General features: G+C 40.3%; 1 protein-coding gene and 2 pseudogenes across 1 annotated transcript in view; 1 reads left to right on the top strand and 2 right to left on the bottom strand.

Moving 5' to 3' along the window:
- The window catches only part of ENPP1 (ectonucleotide pyrophosphatase/phosphodiesterase 1), an 87136-nt gene extending 74261 nt beyond the window's left edge, over positions 1-12875 (bottom strand). The window contains exon 1 of the mRNA NM_006208.3: positions 12620-12875. Within this exon, the coding sequence (NP_006199.2) occupies positions 12620-12859 (240 nt within the window). The 5' untranslated portion in view covers positions 12860-12875. The remainder of the gene's footprint in view (positions 1-12619) is intronic.
- RN7SKP245 (RN7SK pseudogene 245) lies at positions 323-561 on the bottom strand (annotated as a pseudogene).
- SELENOKP2 (selenoprotein K pseudogene 2) lies at positions 772-1587 on the top strand (annotated as a pseudogene).

Below are 19725 nucleotides of genomic sequence, written 5' to 3'. Positions count from 1 at the left end.
TACTATTTAGGAAACTTTTTTGTCTGTATTCAAACAGCTAGTAACCGTAGCAGGATTTAAACCTGATTTTGTCTGACTCCAAAACTATTCACCAATAAACTACAGAGATGAGATTAACAGAATTATTGATTTTGTGATCTTGGAAAGTCTCCAAACTTTCTCTGAGCCATGATTTTTTCATCTCTAACATGGGGATGGATAACAGCAGAGCTGTGGTTTGGACTAATGAGGTAGGAGATGTAGAAGTATTTTGAAATTTATAAAAGAATGTAAGGATACAATCATTGTAACTAGGTTAATTTTCACTCTCCTCTCCCTAGTTCTTGAGAGTTTGTTTGGAGGTTCTAGCAGGGGAGTGCACCTATTCATATACCCTTGACCAAAGACTGGTTCTCATCTATGGGAGATGGTCATCTTCTTCAACCGAGCGCACATCTTCGGGAGGGACACACGTGGAGTAGTGAGGGAGGAAGGGGACACCCGCCTAGCCAGCCAGATAGCCAAATCAGCCCTGGCGATCAATGGGGTGATAGAAGTCACAGCCAGATCGCCCTCACATCCCCTAGTTCTGAAAAATATTACTGAAAATATTACTGGATGTACACCTATTTCCTAAATATTTGTAAATATATTCACGAAATTTTTCTTATCAGGATCCCATTATACTTCTAAAAGTTACTAACAACCCTAAGATGCCTTTTCAGATGATTATGGACATTCTTCTTTAAAACCACACCAAAATTCTAAAAGTAGTAATCTCTTAAACTATGACCAGTCGCTCCGAAGCAGGGAAGGGGGGCAAGATGGTTTACATCGCAAATGGACAAGTGCTGGACAGCTGGAGTCAGTCTCCATGGAGATTATCTTTGATAACAGATTTCTTATGGGGAACAGCTGAGTTTGTGGTTTTGCTTTTCAAAACTCTGCTTCAGCAAGATGCGAAAAAAAAAAAAAAGAAGCTATGGAAACTCATCTGATTCCAGATATGATGATGGAAGAGGGCCACTGGGAAACTCTCCCCAGAGAATTGGTCGAATCAATCATTTGCGTGGCCCCAGTCCTCCTCCAATGGCTGGTGGATGAGGAAGGTAAATGTCTGCTCTATGAAGCAGACAACTGGACATGCATATTCATAGCAGAAAGAAACCATCAAGAAGTGGGGGGCTGGCCATGCTGGAGCAGTAGACAAATGTGTGTGTCTAAATAGGGACTGCTCTGTGTTCTCACAGATGAATGAGGTAATGCTGGGAATTCCCTCTGCAGGGAACTGGCTGACTGACATGCAGTTCCACAAATGCACGTTTGTCTCATTATCTTTTTTGTATAGTTTATTAAAGTATTAATATAGTTTCAATAAGTAAGTATTTTTAGGTTGCAAAATGAACTCATCTTTATATTAAATTCACAAAAAAACTGAATCTGAAGAATATAACTAAAAGGCTGTGTATTTAACATTTAGTGTCACCTTTTCAACTTCTGAAATACTGTTCATTGGTAATTTGTTCTCATTTATAAATCACATTGTATTCATTTCGATAGAATGCATATATCTGTGCTCTTGAATTAATTTTTATCTTATATTTGTCTTTTGAAAGAAGTAAATTATGGCATAAAAATGGAAAAGGTATTACTGAACTTTACATACTGTTACATTAAAATCCATTAGTCTATCTTGCACTTTGAATGGAAATTATACCAATGCATAATTTTGTAACATCATCCACTCATCCTTTGGAAAATATTGGTTCACTAAGTTCTATCATTCTTCCAAATGTTAACGCATGTCATTAAACAACATGAAAAAAAACCACATTCCTCGCTATCTTCATCAATTTTGTGTAAGGATCAGGAAGCTGTTACACTCAAATGGCAAATACAAGTTTTTCAAAATTCTAATTTTTGCTTGGAAGCTCAGATTTTATCATAGACAGCTGATAGCTTCATAGGTTTTCCTTGAAGGGACAAGCTAACATCACTCATTTTTGAGAAAATATGTCAAATAAATAAGTCTAAATAAAAAGCTTGTCAGTTCTTTCAAATAAAAATGGTGTTCTTTGAAAAAAAATTAGTTCAGCTTGCAACTTAAACAACCGCACAGCTGCTTTTCCTCTAGAAAACAGTACTTCAGTATGCAGCAGATATGCTACATGCATACTTCCAATTGTGTCACATAGAATATCAAAAAGACAGGTAATCTAGGTTTCAGATTATTAAATCTGCTTCATCAAGGACATTTTTTTTTTTTTTGAGACAGAGTCTCGCTGTGTCACCCAGGCTGGAGTGCAGTGGCACGATCTCGGCTCACTGCAACCTCCGCCTCCTGGGTCCATGCCATTCTCCTGCCTCAGCCTCCCAAGGAGCTGGGACTACAGGCGCCCACCACCATGCCCGGCTAATTTTTTCTGTATTTTTAGTAGAGACGGCATTTCACCGTGTTAGCCAGGATGGTCTCGATCTCCTGACCTCGTGATCCACCCGCCTCGGCCTCCCAAAGTGCAAGGATTACAAATGTGAGCCACCGCGACCAGCCTCATCAAGGACATTTTTATTGCTTCATCTAAGCAATAAAACATCTAAGGTGTTCTTTTTAGTGAAATGGCTTTTTTTTTATTGCAAGTGCATGACTACTTGTACAATTGGTGTCATTGCAATGACGTCTGCTAAGGTGCCATCACTCCTTTAATACCACGGTGTAAAAGTCAACACAGTGAAAGGGCAAATAATGTCTTAATCTACTGAGTTTCTTTTCAATTCTCTCTCTCTAACCATAAGAGAGCATCAAGATCCCCCAGATGCTTGCTAACGTCAAAAAAAGCTTTCTAAGCAGGAGGGGGATCGGGAAACACATCTTTAGGAACAAGCTAGTTTCTCAAAAATATTCACCTGAAAACCAAGATAGTGATTTTTTTTTAAGACTCTCAAATCACACCTGTTATAGGATGTTTGCCAGCTAAGTCTGTGCAAAGTCCTGAAATACGGTGAGAAAATGGTCAATCCATAAATGAGAAACACTTGTGACAATTCGCTGTGACAATTTACTTCCTCCAAAATGATTTTCTTATGCATATTATACATATATATAAAATATGGAGATATGTACATACACACGTGTGTGTGTGTGTGTGTGTGTGTGTGTGTGTATGGAGAGAGAGAAAGAAAGAGAGACAGAGAGAGATTGAGAGAGAGAGAGAGATAGACATGGGGTTTCATTATATTGCCCAGGCTGATCTTAAATTATGGCCTCAAGTGATTCTCCTGCCTCGGTCTCCTTTAGAGGCATGAGCCACCACACATCCCAAAATCACTTTCTATCAAAACTCTCTATTTTTCTATTCTACTACATTTCAAAATAAGCCAAGAAGGAAACTCAAACTAAGAAGAAAAGCACAATTTCCCAAAAGTATACCTACTTTGGAAGCTCCCAGAAACAGCTGATTGTTGACTTCACACTAATAAAGTGCACTAATTTTGGCTTCCACCCAGGAAAATCTCATCACTGAACTACCAAAGACACATATATATCTCAATATAGAGGCAAGCTTTAGCATCACCACACCAGAAATTTCTTAGGTTCTAATTACACATTGTTATACTGAAGCAGGCAAAGGAGAGTTGGAAACCCAACAGCAGGCCAAGCTTGATGAATAGGATATAACATTTAGCAAATGAATGGGATGGCATTAGCTATTAGTCCGTGATAAAAATCTGTAGATAAAAGTCCTTCCAGTTACCATCATAGTCTATTATGTACTAATGGTGTGGCTTTTGCCTATAAATTTAGCCCATTGTTGCTAGAAGTAGAGTAAATCAACCACCTACATCTGAATAACTTGAGGTGCTTGTTAAAAAGTGAGGATTCTTTGGGTCCATTCCAAATCTATTAAATCATAATCACTGAGATTGGAGCCTAGGAATCTCTGTCTTTAACACTTCCCAGGTGGTTTTTATGCACAATAATGTCTGCATGGAAACCTGACTGAATCCCTGACTGAGCCTCAGATTCCTTATCTGTAAAGCAGAATTGACTGTCATCATACTTTCCTATTTCACAGTTGTTGAGTATTGAGGATCAATCAAAAATATATGGGAAATGCTTTTTAAAGCTGCCAAGTGCTACAAAAATGATTATAACCATCTAAACTTCTACCACCTACACTTCTACCAACACCTCTTCTAAAAACTAAAAGTAAAAAAAGGTAAAAATAATTTTTCAAAGACACTACAGATATCTTAATTCTTGCAACTAAATCTCAGATAACTAGAATACTCAGAAAATAGTCTTCCCGTTAATATTTAACTGAACATTCTGGTCACTCTTTTGAAAAACCTTAAATGTGTTCCTACATTGTCTTTCCTTGGTAAATGCATAACTTAGTTTTTATCCGATGACAAGGGATTTTCGAGCTGGGTCAGAATTCTGAGTATCAGGTTTTGTTGCACAAGATTTATGCTTAGAAGAGTAATCTATGTTCGGCCCTGAGCTCATTTGCTAAAAGGTTTCTTGTTTATTTTTTCTTGTTTGGGGGGTATTTTATGGTTGATGGAGGCATGCTTATTTTAACCAAAAGCAGATCTCTAATTACAAGTTGTATTCCAAATGCTTATTTGTTCCTAAGTTGTCTGGAACTTAAATGCCTCTCCCCATAGTAAGAAAAAAAAAGAAGTTATAAATCATGATAAAGTTCTCTGGCTTGTACAAAAAGGCCACAATATAGATGAAATACATTTGCTGTATCTTAAATGTCACACAAATATTTTACAATGGTAGTCATCAAACTTGAGAGCAAAATTGAATATGAAACTATTTTCATTTACCTTTAACATTGCTACTTAAGATAAAAAGAGTCAGCTGGATGAAGATGAAAAGCTGATACAGCCGGGCGTGGTGGCTCACGCCTGTAATCCCAGCACTTTGGGAGGCCGAGGCGGGCAGATCACTTGAGGTCAGGAGTTCGAGACCAGCCTGGCCAACATGGCAAAACCCTGTCTCTACTAAAAATACAAAAAAAAAAAAAAAAAAAAATTAGCCAGGTGTGGTGGTGTGCGCCTGTAATCCCAGCTACTCAGGAGGCTAAGGCAGGATAATCACTTGAACCCGGGAGGCAGACAGAGGTTGCAGTGAGCCAAGTTCACTCCACTGCACTTCAGCCTGCACTACAAAGTGAAACTCCGTTTCAAAAAAAAAAAAAAGGCTGATAGATAAAAATTTCTGTAAATGCTCTAGAAAGGTTAATGGCCCCCAGTTCTTTATTATACAGAACACATAAGGTCTCTCAATGTGACCACCAAGGATTTTCTTCAGAGTCATGATTAGGATATGATGGGGGCAGGAGATGACAAAACTGAGTGTCCAAAGTTAACTAAACAAGTGAAATAGAAATTAGCAAAGTGCTTTTGAAACAGTAGCTACGTATCCCTGAGAAAGAGACAACATGGAGTGGAAACAGCTGAGCTACAAATGGTGAAAAAGAAATACCAGAACAAGATTCAAGGCAGAAGAAAAGAAGGGACAGAAAGCAATGCTGAAGAAGAGCGAAGAATCACAAAGACTGAATTCAGGGTGTGGCAGCAAAGTTATCAAAACCAAAGAGGCCTTGGTGTAAGTGAAGGAGGCTCTCCTTCATACATGCCGACTGCCACACTTGGAGTGTCTGTACCTGAGAGAATGTTCACTGACTAGATTTCTGATTCTGAATCCACGTTATCACAGAGGCCCCGTCTGCCTTCTTCTTAGGCACCTTCACCTTAGTTGGGTACTTCTGTTCCTTCACTATCTCCTCCATCTCCCTATACCCAAATAAAATTATATCCCAGTTTTAATCTTACCCCTGAATTTATACCCAAGTGTCATCTCTATGTGGATTCCTGACCATCACAGACCCTATGGGTCCCTGCTTGTGTATTTAGTCTTCCCATCTTCCCCTTTTCCAAATCAAAGTGTGGCTCAGTCTAACAAAAAATGCAGTACATTCATTCAAGCAATTAAAAGCTGACATTGAGTGTCAGGTACTATCCTCTGCCTAATAGTAAAAACAACAGTCTTGGGTTCCTAGGAATCCTTTATGTATTTTATTAGAACATGTGAAACAAATACCATAAGGGACACAGAGAACACTTCTCTGGCCTCTTAAGATGCTCTGGTTATTCTGAAATTAAAATGTTCAACTATGGCTGGACAGATAACAAATTTTATAAACCAAAGGAGCAATGTCAACTCCAAGTCTGATTAAGAGCAGAGACTTAGCTTGAACATTCTTCCTTCCATATTCTAGAGTTAAGATAATGGATCATAAGGGAAGGAAAAGGAAGCTAATTGAATTATAATTTTTACACCCAAATCTCAAATAATGCCAGCTTCTGCCTCTTATAAAGAAGTCTTTCACAGCATATACTCAGGGCAACTTGAATCTATGCTCCTGGGTTGTATTCCTCAAACTTGGCCCAAATAAAGCTCTATAATTACATTAATTTTGCCTTGGTTTTTTTTTTCTTTAGGTCAGCAGGATTCACAGTGACTTCCCACCACCACCTGGTGTTTTTCTCTAAAATCAGTGCTTGGTACCAGCATGAACTCATTGCATTCTCCATTTTTGGAAGTCCTACCACATGTTGTGGAGATGAGGTCTCACTCTGTTGCCCAGGTAGGTCGTGAACTCTTGAGCTCAAGCAATCCTCCCACATCAGCCTCCCAAAGTTCTGGGATTTCAGGCATTAGCCTCTATGCTCCGCCAGAAATCTTATCTTGTGTGGTTGAAGCTCATTGAGATTGGATGGATCGGCATTTCCATTGTGCAAACCACACTCAGTCTTCCAGAGTGGAAGAATAAATAAATGGAATCATGAAAAGTTAATTGGCAAAGCTTACAGAAAGCTTTAACCTTCCCTGGCCTAAGGCTCTTCCATTTGCTTAACTTACATTCTACCCTGCTTGGAAAACATCAGCTTTCTCCTTTTGAAATAAGAATGGAAAGATCCATGCACCTGGATGAAGGAGACTACGAACCAGCTCTCCTGAAAAGTTGTAAACTAAAAATAAAATCCAAAGCCCTCGACCAACTGAGTGGACCCACTCTCTGCCAAGGAAACCCCAGAGAAACCTCAAAAACTGAGCTCTCAGTCAAAATAGGAAGAGAGGTCAAACGCACTTAATTCTACTCCCTCCCTTTTGGAGTTGAGGCGTAACAATTGACCAGCATTAATGTTACAATAGAAATAAGACCGCGAAAACGTCTCTGTGGCAATAAGACACCAAGTTATAAACAAGACCTTAAGGGTATGCAAGGGGAGGGTTAAGTCATGTCTGCACACCCATCAATTTTGCTACATAGCATCATGCTTAACTTACAACATCCCTTTTTTTTTTTTGAGACAGAGTCTTGCTCTGTCACCTAGGCTGGAGTGTAATGGTGCAATCTCGGCTCACTGCAACCTCCGCCTCCCAGGTTCAAGCGATTCTCCTGCCTCAGCCTCCCAAGTGGTTGGCACTACAGGCATGTACTACCATGCCCTGCTAATTTTTTTTGTATTTTTACAAAAAAAGAGGTTTCACCCTTTTTTTGAAGGGGTTTCACCATGTTGGTCATTCTGGTCTTGAACTCCTGACCTCAAATGATCCCACCTGCCTCAGCCTCCCAAAGTGCTGGGATTACAGGCATGAGCCATCACACACAGCCACAACAGCCCTTTCTGTTGATTCCAAGTTTTAGACAGAGCCTTACTCCTTTAATCAATTGCAAATTAAAGAATCTCCGAATCACCGGGCAAAGTGGCTCACGCCTATAATCATAGCACTTTGGGAGGCTGAGGTGGGTGAAATTCCTGAGCTCAGGAGTTCAAGACCAGCCTGGGCAACAAAGTGAAACCCTGTCTCTACTAAAATACAAAAAAATTAGCCAGGAGTGGTGGTGTGTGCCTGTAATCCCAGCTACTTGGGAGGCTGAGACAGAAGAATCGCTTGAACCCAGGAGCGGGAGGTTGCAGTGGGCCGAGATTGTGCTATTGCACTCTAGCCTGGGCAACAGAGCAAGACTGTCTCAAAAAAAAAATCTCTGAATATGCTGAATAAATAACCTGTAAGCCCTTGCTTTAAGATATCCCACCTTTTCATATGGAATCAATGTATACCTTTCATGTACTGATTTATGTCTTTGCCAGTAACTCCTGCCTCCCTGAAATATATAAAAACACACAGTAATCCAACTGCCTCAGGTGCACATTCTCAGGACTCCTTGAGAAAGTGTTTCCCCGAGCCACAGTCACTCATCTTGGCTCAGGATAAAGCTCTTTAAAATATTTTACAGAGTTTGGTTTTTCCATTAACAAGGTGATACTCTTCACTATTGTCAAGGCCTTATAAGTTTCTCACTGAAAATTCTAAATTAATTAAGGATTCTTTTAACAGCAAGCTCTTAGGAGACAAAAACATCAAAGATCATGGTCTCCAACCTGGAAGATTTTGTTTAATAGAAAATACCATCAAATAAAGGACTCCTAGCCACGTTAGAAGGGCCAATATCAGGCTACCCTGCCTAAGTGGACATCTTCCTCAGTGGAGATCTTCAACACTTTGTTCTTTAGACCAGGACAAGAAGTGGATTAAAATATTCATTTGGTTACCTTCAGGAATAGGAACACTTTTCATATTTGTATTTCAAGTTGTTTTGTTGATAATTGTCCTTATTTGTGTCATCCTTTTGATTCTTAAATTGATTATGCTTTGTATTTCTAGATGTCTAAAGTCTACCACAAAATTCTATAACAAAAAACTCATCATAATAGCTAGATGCTTAGAAATGACCCAACATACCTCAACTCCAGTGTAAGTGAATGACCTGAAATCCCGCTGCTCTGTCCCCTTATTTTTCAATCCAATCCCTGAATTGTTGCCTACCAATTCAGCCTTGGAACCTCACTAAGTTTTTAAGTGATAGTACTTCTGCCCATCTCATTCCCTCTGACATGGGACAAGACTATCCGGAAATGAGCCTTCCCAGCAATGTGGGACAAACTTACATCCAAAACGTTGATCATCAGTATTTTAAGAAGAGAAAGATTTTTATTAAAAGGAGGAAATGAGAAAGAAAAATTGCTCAGAGCAGTCTGAGATATGCGAACTATGCAAAATTTATCAGGCCCAGAGGGACATGAGCATGGGACTTCAGTCACATCACTGCACCCATTCCCAGGGGCAATTCTTTAAAAGCATTTTGTTCCTGACAGCTGCCTCACCCACTATCTTCATGTTCCTGGAATGTGTGATACAAAGAACAATGTATAGCCAACCAATAGCTCGTTATTGTAACATGAATGCTTGATAAACAACTTAGGAACTGCCTCTTCCTTTTTCCTTTAAAAACCCATTTGTAACTGCTGCTAATAGGAGCATCTACTCAGGGCAACTTGAATCTATGCTCCTGGGTTGCAGTCCTCAAACTTGAGCCAAACGGACTCTCTACATATATATAGATATAGATATAGATATAGATATAGATATAGATATAGATATAGATATAGATATATAGATATAGATATAGATATATGTTTTTTTAAAGAACTCTTTCACTGAAACATGAAAGTAGTCTTCAGTGACCACCACCCATACGCAAGCCCTTTACACATACACAGATACACAGATATATGTATTCATAAGTATAGCAGAAGGTCACAAACAACACAAAAAAAATGCTTTTGAGGAGCTAACTGGAGAAATGTATTGCAATGTAGTTGAGAATTACATGACTGTAAAATCACACCAAGAAACAAGAAGGATATTTAAATACATCTCCAAGTCAACACATCTCGGTGGAAGTCTACACTTCAGTTCAAAACTTCATTTACAACCAAGGAAAGGCATCTAATATTTAACATACCTACTGACACATGTAGAGAATAATACTTGTTTTTCCCTCTTGCTGTTTTCCTCAGTTTGGCTCAGTACCTAGGCACAAGCATTCCAGGGCCCAGGGCCAAAAGCCTCTAAAGCACAGCTTGGTGGCCCTCTCCTAAGATCAACCACCACAATGGGGAGAAGCCAGGGTAGGACAGAATCCTCACTCCTTCATCCACTCTCACACATCTACATCATTTTAGTTTATCTGAGAAAACTGCAGAGTAATGTAAAAATTACATTGCCACTGCAACATGATTGCCTCTGAAAGGCAAGGCAACGCAACTCTTCTATTTATCCTGCTAAATTAAAACAGTGTAGCTGAGGATCATAGTGCTGGGCCTCTCCTAATCCCAACCCCAGGTTGCAATTAGTTCAATCTGTTTCTGCAGCTTTATGAAAAGTGTGCTGAGGTTTAATCTGAAAACAAAAGGAATTCTATAATTGCAGCTCCTTTCTAGAAGACATATCCCAGAGCTCTTTGACGACAATTGTCAGGATGCTTTTGGGGCCTTTTCCATTTGGAAGCCCATTATTTGGGGAAGTTTTTGGGGGGGGGGCGGGGTTGGGGGAAAAAGGTATTGAAGTAGGGAAGGGAAAGAAGAATACGAGTTTGCACTTTCAGTTCAGTAGCTAAATAGCAATTTCAACAATAAAGGGTCTCACCGTGTCACCCAAGCTGAAGTGCAGTGGCACAATCACAGTTCACTGCAGCCTTAACTTTCCCTGGCTCAGCTGAACCTCCCATGTCAGCCTCCCAAGTAGCTGGGACATAGACGCATGCTACCATACCCAGCTAATTTTTGTATCTTTTGTAGAGATGGGTTTCATCATGTTGCCCAGGCTGGTCTCAAACTCCTGGGCTCAAGCAATGGAACCGCCTCAACTTCCCAAAGTGCTGAGATAATAGGTATGAGTCACCGCACCAGGTCTATTTGGTAACATTTGTATGTTAATGTCTCACAGTGTTCCATCAAAAGATATGAAGTAAGAATTCTTTCCAATTCAATAGATGCAAAAGACCCCAATTAATGGATAAAAAAGGTCCATAATAGTCCTACTTGTGGAAGTAAGTCCTAGGACACTTCCATGTCAAATGCCCAGAGTAGCATCATCACACAGAATGCTGTTTGACCAGTTGACTGCAGGTCTCAAAGACTGGACAGCTTATTCCAAAACTAGACCTTTGCTGATATCTGTTGTGGATGTATAAGTAAATGAGCAAGAAAAATTTAAAACCTGAATTTTGCAATTGGAAAACCTGTAAAGGTTTATAGGCATGTAGAAATGGTTTTACACAAGAGTTACACACTGATTCCATATACAATTATCGACTACCTCATCGTGTGTGAAACACCTCAAGGTATTAATACTAAACAATTTAAGTGATCAGGTTGTAAAAGCTAAGGTCTTCCATTAACAAAATTTTTAAAAGGTGACTCAAGAGACTAAGTTCTCATCAATATTGTGTTATTATAGACTCAAAACAGTGTTACAAGATGCAAAATTTTATCTTGAGATGCAAACATCATGTGGCTTGGGGTACTTATTCTGTGAAACTAAGGCTTCTTTTTAAGTACTAAGCATACGGCACCATCTCTTAAGTCTAGGAAGATTGATTCCTCAAAGTATTATAGCATCTCCATGATGTCCCAAATATAGTGAAAATGGAAATGCATACAAAATGAAAGGAGACTTGAAAAATTAGAAATTTTTCTACAAAGCATTATTCAATCATATGTAAGGGGATATATTTTAGGGTACACTATACATAGAAATCTGTGATTTCCATATAATACAATAAAAATGATTCTATTTCCTTGCTGTTTTCAATTTACTTCCCTACCTACATTCTTCAGCTTGATTTTCACAATAATCCCATGCAATGCACAAGGGAGTTGATGTTGTCCCATTTTCACACATTAGAAATTGAGGTTTAGGGACAGTTACGCAAGGCCTCAGCAAATAATAACAGCCAGGAATCCAGGCCTTCTCTCAATCAGCACTTCCCACCATGAATTCAGAATAAAAACCAACCCCCACATTTCATGAAGTTGACTGTGGGTCCTGCAAATGTCATAGCAAAATAGCAGAGGAGTAATAGGTAGCTTTTGTTAGCAACACAAACCGTGTAGCCTCTGGTTAGAAGAGTGGGCAAAGAATCATAAAGGTTTCTTCAGTCACATAATGTGAACATCCATGGAATTTCTGAGCACCTGCAAGGAAATTCCAAAACGGAGCGAAAGGGAAAAAGTGTTCCGTAGAGTTCCTAATAAAACTTAAAGAGCTCCGCTAACTCTTCAACTGCAATCAGTTAACCCAAGTGAAGTCATGTATACTGCGCCCAGAGCCCCCTAAAAGAAGCAACACATTGATGCACCTTCTTAAGACCAACAACTTTCGCGTTTGACATTTTTCTCCTCTAAAAACCCGTACTCTCCTGGGGCAGGGGGTCGAGTATTTCTAAGGATGACCGTTTTGAACAGCCTGCTTTCACAGGCATCCATAATTCAAGTGAGAGTGAACCATCCTGCCCTGGCAAGGTACCTGGCAGGGGCGGCTGTGTAGGGCACTTGCAAAGGCTGCGGAGGAGAGCGCGCGGGCGAAGAAGCACTCCCGGACCATGCCTCTCTCCGGTGCCCGGTGCTGACTGCGCTGAGAGCGCAGGAGCTCGGCGCCGCCCTCCCCGTACTCCCAGCCCTCCCGGGCGCCGGGGCCTGGCCGCGGACCTACCAGCGAGAGTACTTTATAGGTGTTGGGGTCCTTGGCAGTGCGGGCGCGCGCCGCCTTCTCCAGCGGCTCCTCCCCCACGTCCATAGGGGCCAGCAAGGACGCGGCCGCCTGCGGGTCCCCGGGCGCCTCGGCAGCGTGGCTGCGGCCCCGATCGCGGCCGTTCCCCGCCGGGCCCTCCCGGGGAGCGCGCCCGCCCTCGCCGCCGCGGCTCCCGCCCCCCGCGCAGCCGTCGCGCTCCATCGTGGCCCCGGCCGCTCCGGCCCCGCTGCCCGGCCGCGCCTTTAATAGGCCCCGCGCCGCCCGCCCCGCCCCGCCCCTCCCCGCCGCGCCCGCCCCTCGCGGTCAGATCCTTGGCTCCCCGCCCTACACCCGGCTCTCGCAGTCAGGGCAAAGCGACTCAACGCCCCGGATTATTTGGCTTCCTGTCTGATTTCGGGCACTCTGTGTGTCGGTTATTTTGGGTCCCTTACGTGGGCGTGTCTTAAACTTCCCCCCAAGCCGTCCCCTCCCCGCGCCCCGGCCACCCTCCCGACACTTGCAGGAATCGCCCTGCGTGGCCTCGCGGCGCGGGCTGGGCTGGAATTGCAGCGTGTGGTCTGCAGAGGGCATGAGATCATGGGGCCCCAAAATAGAGCGGGGAGGAGGAGAAGGATGCAGCCGCCGATGCCGGTCCGGCTTCTCAAAGGCGGGAGAGAGTGGAGTCTTGGGGTCGACCTGTGAGTTTCTGGATGGAAATGCAAATGAACCATGGAGGAAGGCGACTTTCTGTTTCTCCCCCTCTGCGCCCCGTCCCCCACTACCTACGGTACTCTGAGAGAGAAATCGTCCACTTAAAATACGTGGGTTCACATGTACTGAACACACGTAAGGGATATTTCGATTCCCACGGTTTTATGTGGTTTCTGGAGTCTTCTCGCTATTGTTTGTATGTATATTTGCTTATTTTTCTAGACTTTCTGTATTGAAGGTTTCAGGAGTTGGCGTTGCCCTCTCCTGAGGTTGACACTGATACCTAGCTATATCAAAAGTGTTAATGCAATCTGAAATACTTTGATAAGCCTTATTTTTCAACTAGGACGCTAACAGTGAGCTGATTCTTGGTGGGTTTTGTTTTACCTTTGATTCTGGAACTTGTACATTTTCTGGCTCATCACTTAGCAAAATCACCAGTGTGTAGTGAAGTGAGACAGAGGGAAACCAGTGACTTCGAACTACTTTGCAATACCCAGGACTGACTTCAGGTACCAAGGAAAACAATTAATTTTCAATACATTTTGAATACATGAATATATACAAGTGTTTACAAATGAGAATGAATGTTTAACAAATATAAAATGCATGTTATCCCTTTAAAATAGTCAACTTGGGATGCTCTTCATTTATACTGACTCATCCATCCACCCATCCATTTATTCATCAAGTAATGAATCCTTCAACTCAATCTTTTGGCCTCCAACTATGCATACCATATAAAAAATGAATTAAAATGTATCTTTCCTTAAGTGTGGTGGAAGCGGGGGTGGGGGGGTAGGACCAACTCGTAAACAAAATAATTAAAACCTAAGTCATATATGCAGAATAGAGTCACACATAGGATATTGATACAGGAGATAGAAATTATTTAGGCAGATAGTATGAGCAAAAGAGCCCTCGGCAGAACTTACCTTCTAACAAAAAGCAGCCCAAGAAATCACTTCCTTTCTAACAAAGAGCAACCTGGAAGATTGGGCTGCAAACATAGGTAAGGAAACTGGAAGCTTGCACGGGAGATGCCGGCAGCGGCACAGACAGAAGGGGCTACTGGGGCCAGGCATGTCCACCATGGGGGTTCCACCTCCCCTCTTTTTTACCACATGCACAGTAAGAAGGAAATAAGCAACACGGAGTAGCTACCTGCCTATATAGTAGAAGATTGGGGCCGGGGCTGCCAGACACTTAAGCCCTATGCAGATGACACACCTGGTCCTAACCGGGTTTTCATGCCATATGCACGAAACCGGGTTTTCCCTCCTTATGTAGATCAGACACCGCCTCCCCACTAGCTCATCTATAAAAACCCCTGCATTTCACCACGTATTGCAACCCATTTTTTGGGACCCCTCTCTGTAGCAGAGCTATTCTCCTCCTTTTGCCTATTAAAAATTCTGCTCCAAACCTCACCCTTTGTGTGTGTCCACATATTTGATCTTTGTGGCCGTGAGACCAAGAACCTCGGATGTCACCATAGACAACAAAGCTACTTCAATATTATGAGAGCTTAGTAGAAAGGACAGTTGACATCTGGAAGAAGTAAAAGCCTTCCCTCAAAGCATTATTGAACTTTTTTAAAAAGTTACCTTTGAGTCAGCTCACAAACCACCCAAGAGAAACAGGTTTTCACTGTTTCATAATCACACATATTTTTCTGCCCCAAACTTGGCTCCAAATTTTCCTTTGACTCTTTCCAAAAATCAGATTCAAGGACAAAGATTTGCTCCACTGAGACTGGTCAAATGAGTGTCAAAACCTCTAAAAGCAACTCAACAGAGACATTATCCAAAGTGCCTTTAAACCTGACAAAACAAATGGAAGAAGTGTATTGTCTGCATCTCAAGGCAACGAACCACTTTAAAGACTTAACATTTGGAAAACACAGTGTGCAGTCTCCAGGGTCACAAACATCTTAAGGCCTAGGGAAAGCATTTTTCTGTGGCATTAATTTATTTTTAAGATTTTGTATGACATCCTGGTTTTTCTTTCTTTTTTTTGAAAGCACAATATGCCATGAACCATATTTGACTGAGGCAGCCCTATACACACTGCAAAAGGCAAACCATGTGCCATGTTAAAGGTTGCAGCATCTATTCAACAGGATTGTGTGCCCAGTGTGGGCAGATGGTCAGATTTTTCAAGAGAAGCAGGAAATTTAAATGTTTGTGTGAATTCTCCGGTTGCAAAATGTTGTCTACAAAATTCAGAGAAACAGTTTCTTCAAACAAACAAAATGTAGCACGTTTAAAAGCCAAACAAAATGTAGCACATCTGCAGGACAGACCTGGCACACACGTCACCAGGATGTGGCCTCTGCCTAATGCTCATGCCTCATCTGTGCCAGGTGGGACTTAATATGGGTAATTATAAAAACCCAATTGGAAGTCTAAAATCGGAAGAATAAAAATGAGCCAAGGCCGGGCACGGTGGCTCACGCCTGTAATCTCAGCATTTTGGGAGGCTGACGCGGGTGGTTCACTTGAGGTCAGGTGTCTGAGACCAACCTGGCCAACATGATGAAAACCAGTCTCCACTAAAAATACAAAAATTAGCAGGGCATGGTGGCACATGCCTGTAGTCCCAGCTACTCTGGAGGCTGAGGCAGGAGAATTGCTTGAACCTGGGAGGCGGAGGTTGCAGTGAGCCAAGATCATGCCACTGCACTCCAGCATGGGCAACAGAGAAAGACTCTGTCTCAAAAAAAAAAAAAAAAAAATGAGTCAGATATGCCATTTTCAGGTTTAGCTATAGACATTGCAAAGCCTATAGTGAAATATTGCCTCAGTCTTCTTTATTCTAAATGATCTGAGGGACAGCTTCACCATCACATTCCAAAGTACAATAAGGTCATGAGATATAAAACCACAACACAATTTTTGGGTTAATGCAAAGGTGAACAATGAATGTTTCATCCTTAATCCTAAATCACTCTGTTTTAGTGATTGCATACTCTAATCTGGAATAGCAGTAAAGATGATAATTTAAGATTTTGTGTAAGTTTTCTATTAAGTTTTATTGTAACATAAATATTTAGACATTTCTGTCTTGGTGCTTGAAGCTTTGGTTGTAGATAAGGCCAAAACACCAAACAAAAACAATTTATCAATGTTTAATTATTACTTTGAAATATTACTTTGAAACAACTTTTCTTAGTGATTAAAAAATGAAATATGCTGTAGGGTAATTATTTTAGCAGCTGTTTCAGAGCTTTTCCAGCTTTCTTCTAATTCGCCAGTAAAACAAGAAAGACATCTAGCCAAATCTAAACAGAAAAAAAACCCACAAGCCTCTTTAATCTTTGTGAGGCCTAGGGAAAACATTTTTCTGTGGCATTAATTTATTTTTAAGAATGTGTATGACATCCTGATTTTTCTTTCTTTTTTTGAAAGCACAAAAATATGTCCCCTGGAGCAAGAAGCTTGGATAACTATGTGACCTTGAACAGATTACCAGAAGCCTCTGAGCCTTAGTTTCCTTATTTGTAAAATGCTCTTTCAGATAATATCTCTAAATGCCAACAAAATGTTTGACATTTCAACTTTACACAAACATTTAAATCTATCATTTGCATTTGTAAATCAACCACTCACTACCCCTAAGGGAGAGAATAAAAAGATTTAATTTTCTCCTATATTATGCATGGTTTATATATAATCTCTGGGAAGGTTTGAGACCTGTTATTGGGCCTGCATCTACAAAGAGGGTAAGGAAAGGATTCTTGCTGCTCTGGGATGAAGGAGAGATGCCTACAGGGATCAGTTAGGTAACAAAACGAATAGAGAGAATTCAGAAGTGTAAGATCCAAAGGAGAGTAATAGAACCTGGGAAAATGGAAAACGCATGTACCATCCAAAGAGAGTGTGGGGTTCTAATTAGGGAAAAGGAGTCAGGATGGCGGGACCGAGGGAAAGCAAAAATATAAAGCAGATAAGCTGTAAGTCTGCCTTGCTTTGTGGTCCAGAACATGTAGCCCTCTTGCACAAATAACTCACAATCTTCCTGCACTCAGCTATCATCAGACCCTCGGGTGATTAAAAAAAAATGCAAGCTAATTCACTGCAACCTCGGTGTTATCAGTACTGCACAAAGCCCTCTTCAGCACACAGCACAAGCACCATTCTAGAACATCCCCAGCAAGCCTTCGTCTCCTTGCAGTCAGCTCCTCTCTTGCTGGCCTGCCCATTGTTCCCTTGCAACACATTTTCATACGTGCTCTAATAAATATGACTTTCTTTACCTACAAGTATCTTCATAAATTCTTTTTACCCCCACACCACTGGCCCCAGATTGTCGCTGATTACCTGCTACAGGAAGTTGGTTTCTAGTCCTTCACTTTTTGTTAACCACGGTATCTGCCACTCCTTCATTATCTCTTACACTTCTATTTCAAACAAAATGTAGGGTTGCCAGGTAACCTGAATTTTAAGTTTGATTAAAGTACAATTTACCTATTATCATATCTACCCATTATATGCATACAGTTCAGTGATTTTTAATAATTTATACAGTTGTGCAACTATTAATATGATCCAGTTTTGGAACAATTTCATCACTTCAAAAAGTTTGTTTCTGCACATGTATAATCAAAAACTCCCATTCCAGTCCCAACCAAAGACTTCTCTGCTTTCTGTCTGTAGCTTTGCCTTTTCTAGAAAATTCATTTAAATGGTATTATACTAAGTTGTCTTTTGTGTCTGTCTTCTTTCACTTAGCATAATGTTTTGAAGTTCATCCATGCTGATGCAAATATCAGTAGTCCCTTTTTATACATAGTAGTAATTTATTGTATGGATATATCATATTTTATCTTTTCACCAGTTGCTGGACATTCGTATTATTTCCAGCTTGAGCTATTATAAATAATGCTTCTATGAACATTCATGTACATGTCTTTGTGTGAATCTGCATTTTCATTTCCCTTGGGTAGATAACTGGGAGTTTCATTGTTAAGTCATATGCAAAGCGTATATTTAAATTTTTGAGAAACAGAGAAACTGTTTCCCAATGTGGCTGTACCATTGTACATTCCTGCCAGCAACATGTAAGGAGTCCATATGCCCCTCCTACACTTACTATTCACAGTATATCAGTGGGTAAGGAGTCCACATACTTTGCAATACTTCCTATTCTCAGTCTTTTATAATAGCCATTTGAATAGGTGTTTGGTGGTACCTCAAAGTGGCTTTTATTTGCATTTCCCTAATGACGAATTATGTTGAACACCTTTTCATGTGCTTATCTGTCATCTATATGTCTTCTTTGATGAAATGCCTACTCAAATCTCTTGCCCATTTTTATCAGATTTGTTTCTCATCTGATTATTGAGTTATAAACTTTTTTATATATTTTGGACACAAGTCTTTTATCATATTTATGATTTGCAAATATTTTATCCAATTTCTTTTTCTTAATGTTGTCTTTTAAAAAACAAGTTTTTAAAATTATTTTTATAAAATCCAATTTATCAATATTTTCTCCTATGGAACCTGATTTTGGTATCATATATAGGAAATCTCTGACTCACCCAAAGCCACAGAAGTTTCTCCTATGTTTTCTTCTAAAGTGTTGTAATTTTAGCCCTTATATTTGGGTCTAGGACCATTCTGAGTTAATTTTTGTGTAATGTGTGAGATAAGGGTCTAAATTCATTGTTGTACACATGGATACCCAATGGTTCCAGCACCAATTGTTGAAGACTCATTTCTCCATTGAATTACCTTGGCAGCTATGTCAAAATTTAATTTACCATAAATGTTGAAGTTCATTCCTATGGTGATTGGCCCTATGATGAGCATTTCCCCAACCACACCACACCCCACACCAGCCCCTGGTTACCACCATTCTACTTTCTATGTCTGTAAGTTCAAATTTGTCCACATGTAAGTGAAATCATATGGTATTTGTCTTTAGGTACCTGTCTTATTTCACTTAACATTATTTCTGAACTCTGTTGTGTTTCATTAATTTATGTGTATATGCTTATGCAAATACCACATTTTTTTATTGCTGTGGCTTTATAGTGATTTTTGAAATAAGTTAGCATACCTCCAACTTTGTTTCTTTTCAAAATTATTTTAGCTATTATAGGCCTTTGCATTTCCATACAATGTTAGAATTACATTGTCAATTTCTATCTTAAAAAAGTCTACATTTTTTCATAGGATTATGTTTAACCTATAAATCAAATTGAGAACAATTGCCATCTTAACAATATTTAGTCTTATAATTTATGAATATGGGATATCACTTTATTTATTTAGATTGACTTTAATTTTTTTCAGCAGTGTGTATCCTCACCCTACAGGTCTTGGTTTCTTTTGTCATATTTACTCCTAAATATTTTATGTTTTTGATGA

The sequence above is a fragment of the Homo sapiens genome, chromosome 6, assembly GCF_000001405.40.
Source record: "Homo sapiens chromosome 6, GRCh38.p14 Primary Assembly".
NCBI lineage: Eukaryota > Metazoa > Chordata > Mammalia > Primates > Hominidae > Homo > Homo sapiens.
The sequence above is the reverse complement of the archived record's forward strand: the minus strand, read 5'-3'. Positions and strand labels throughout refer to the sequence as shown.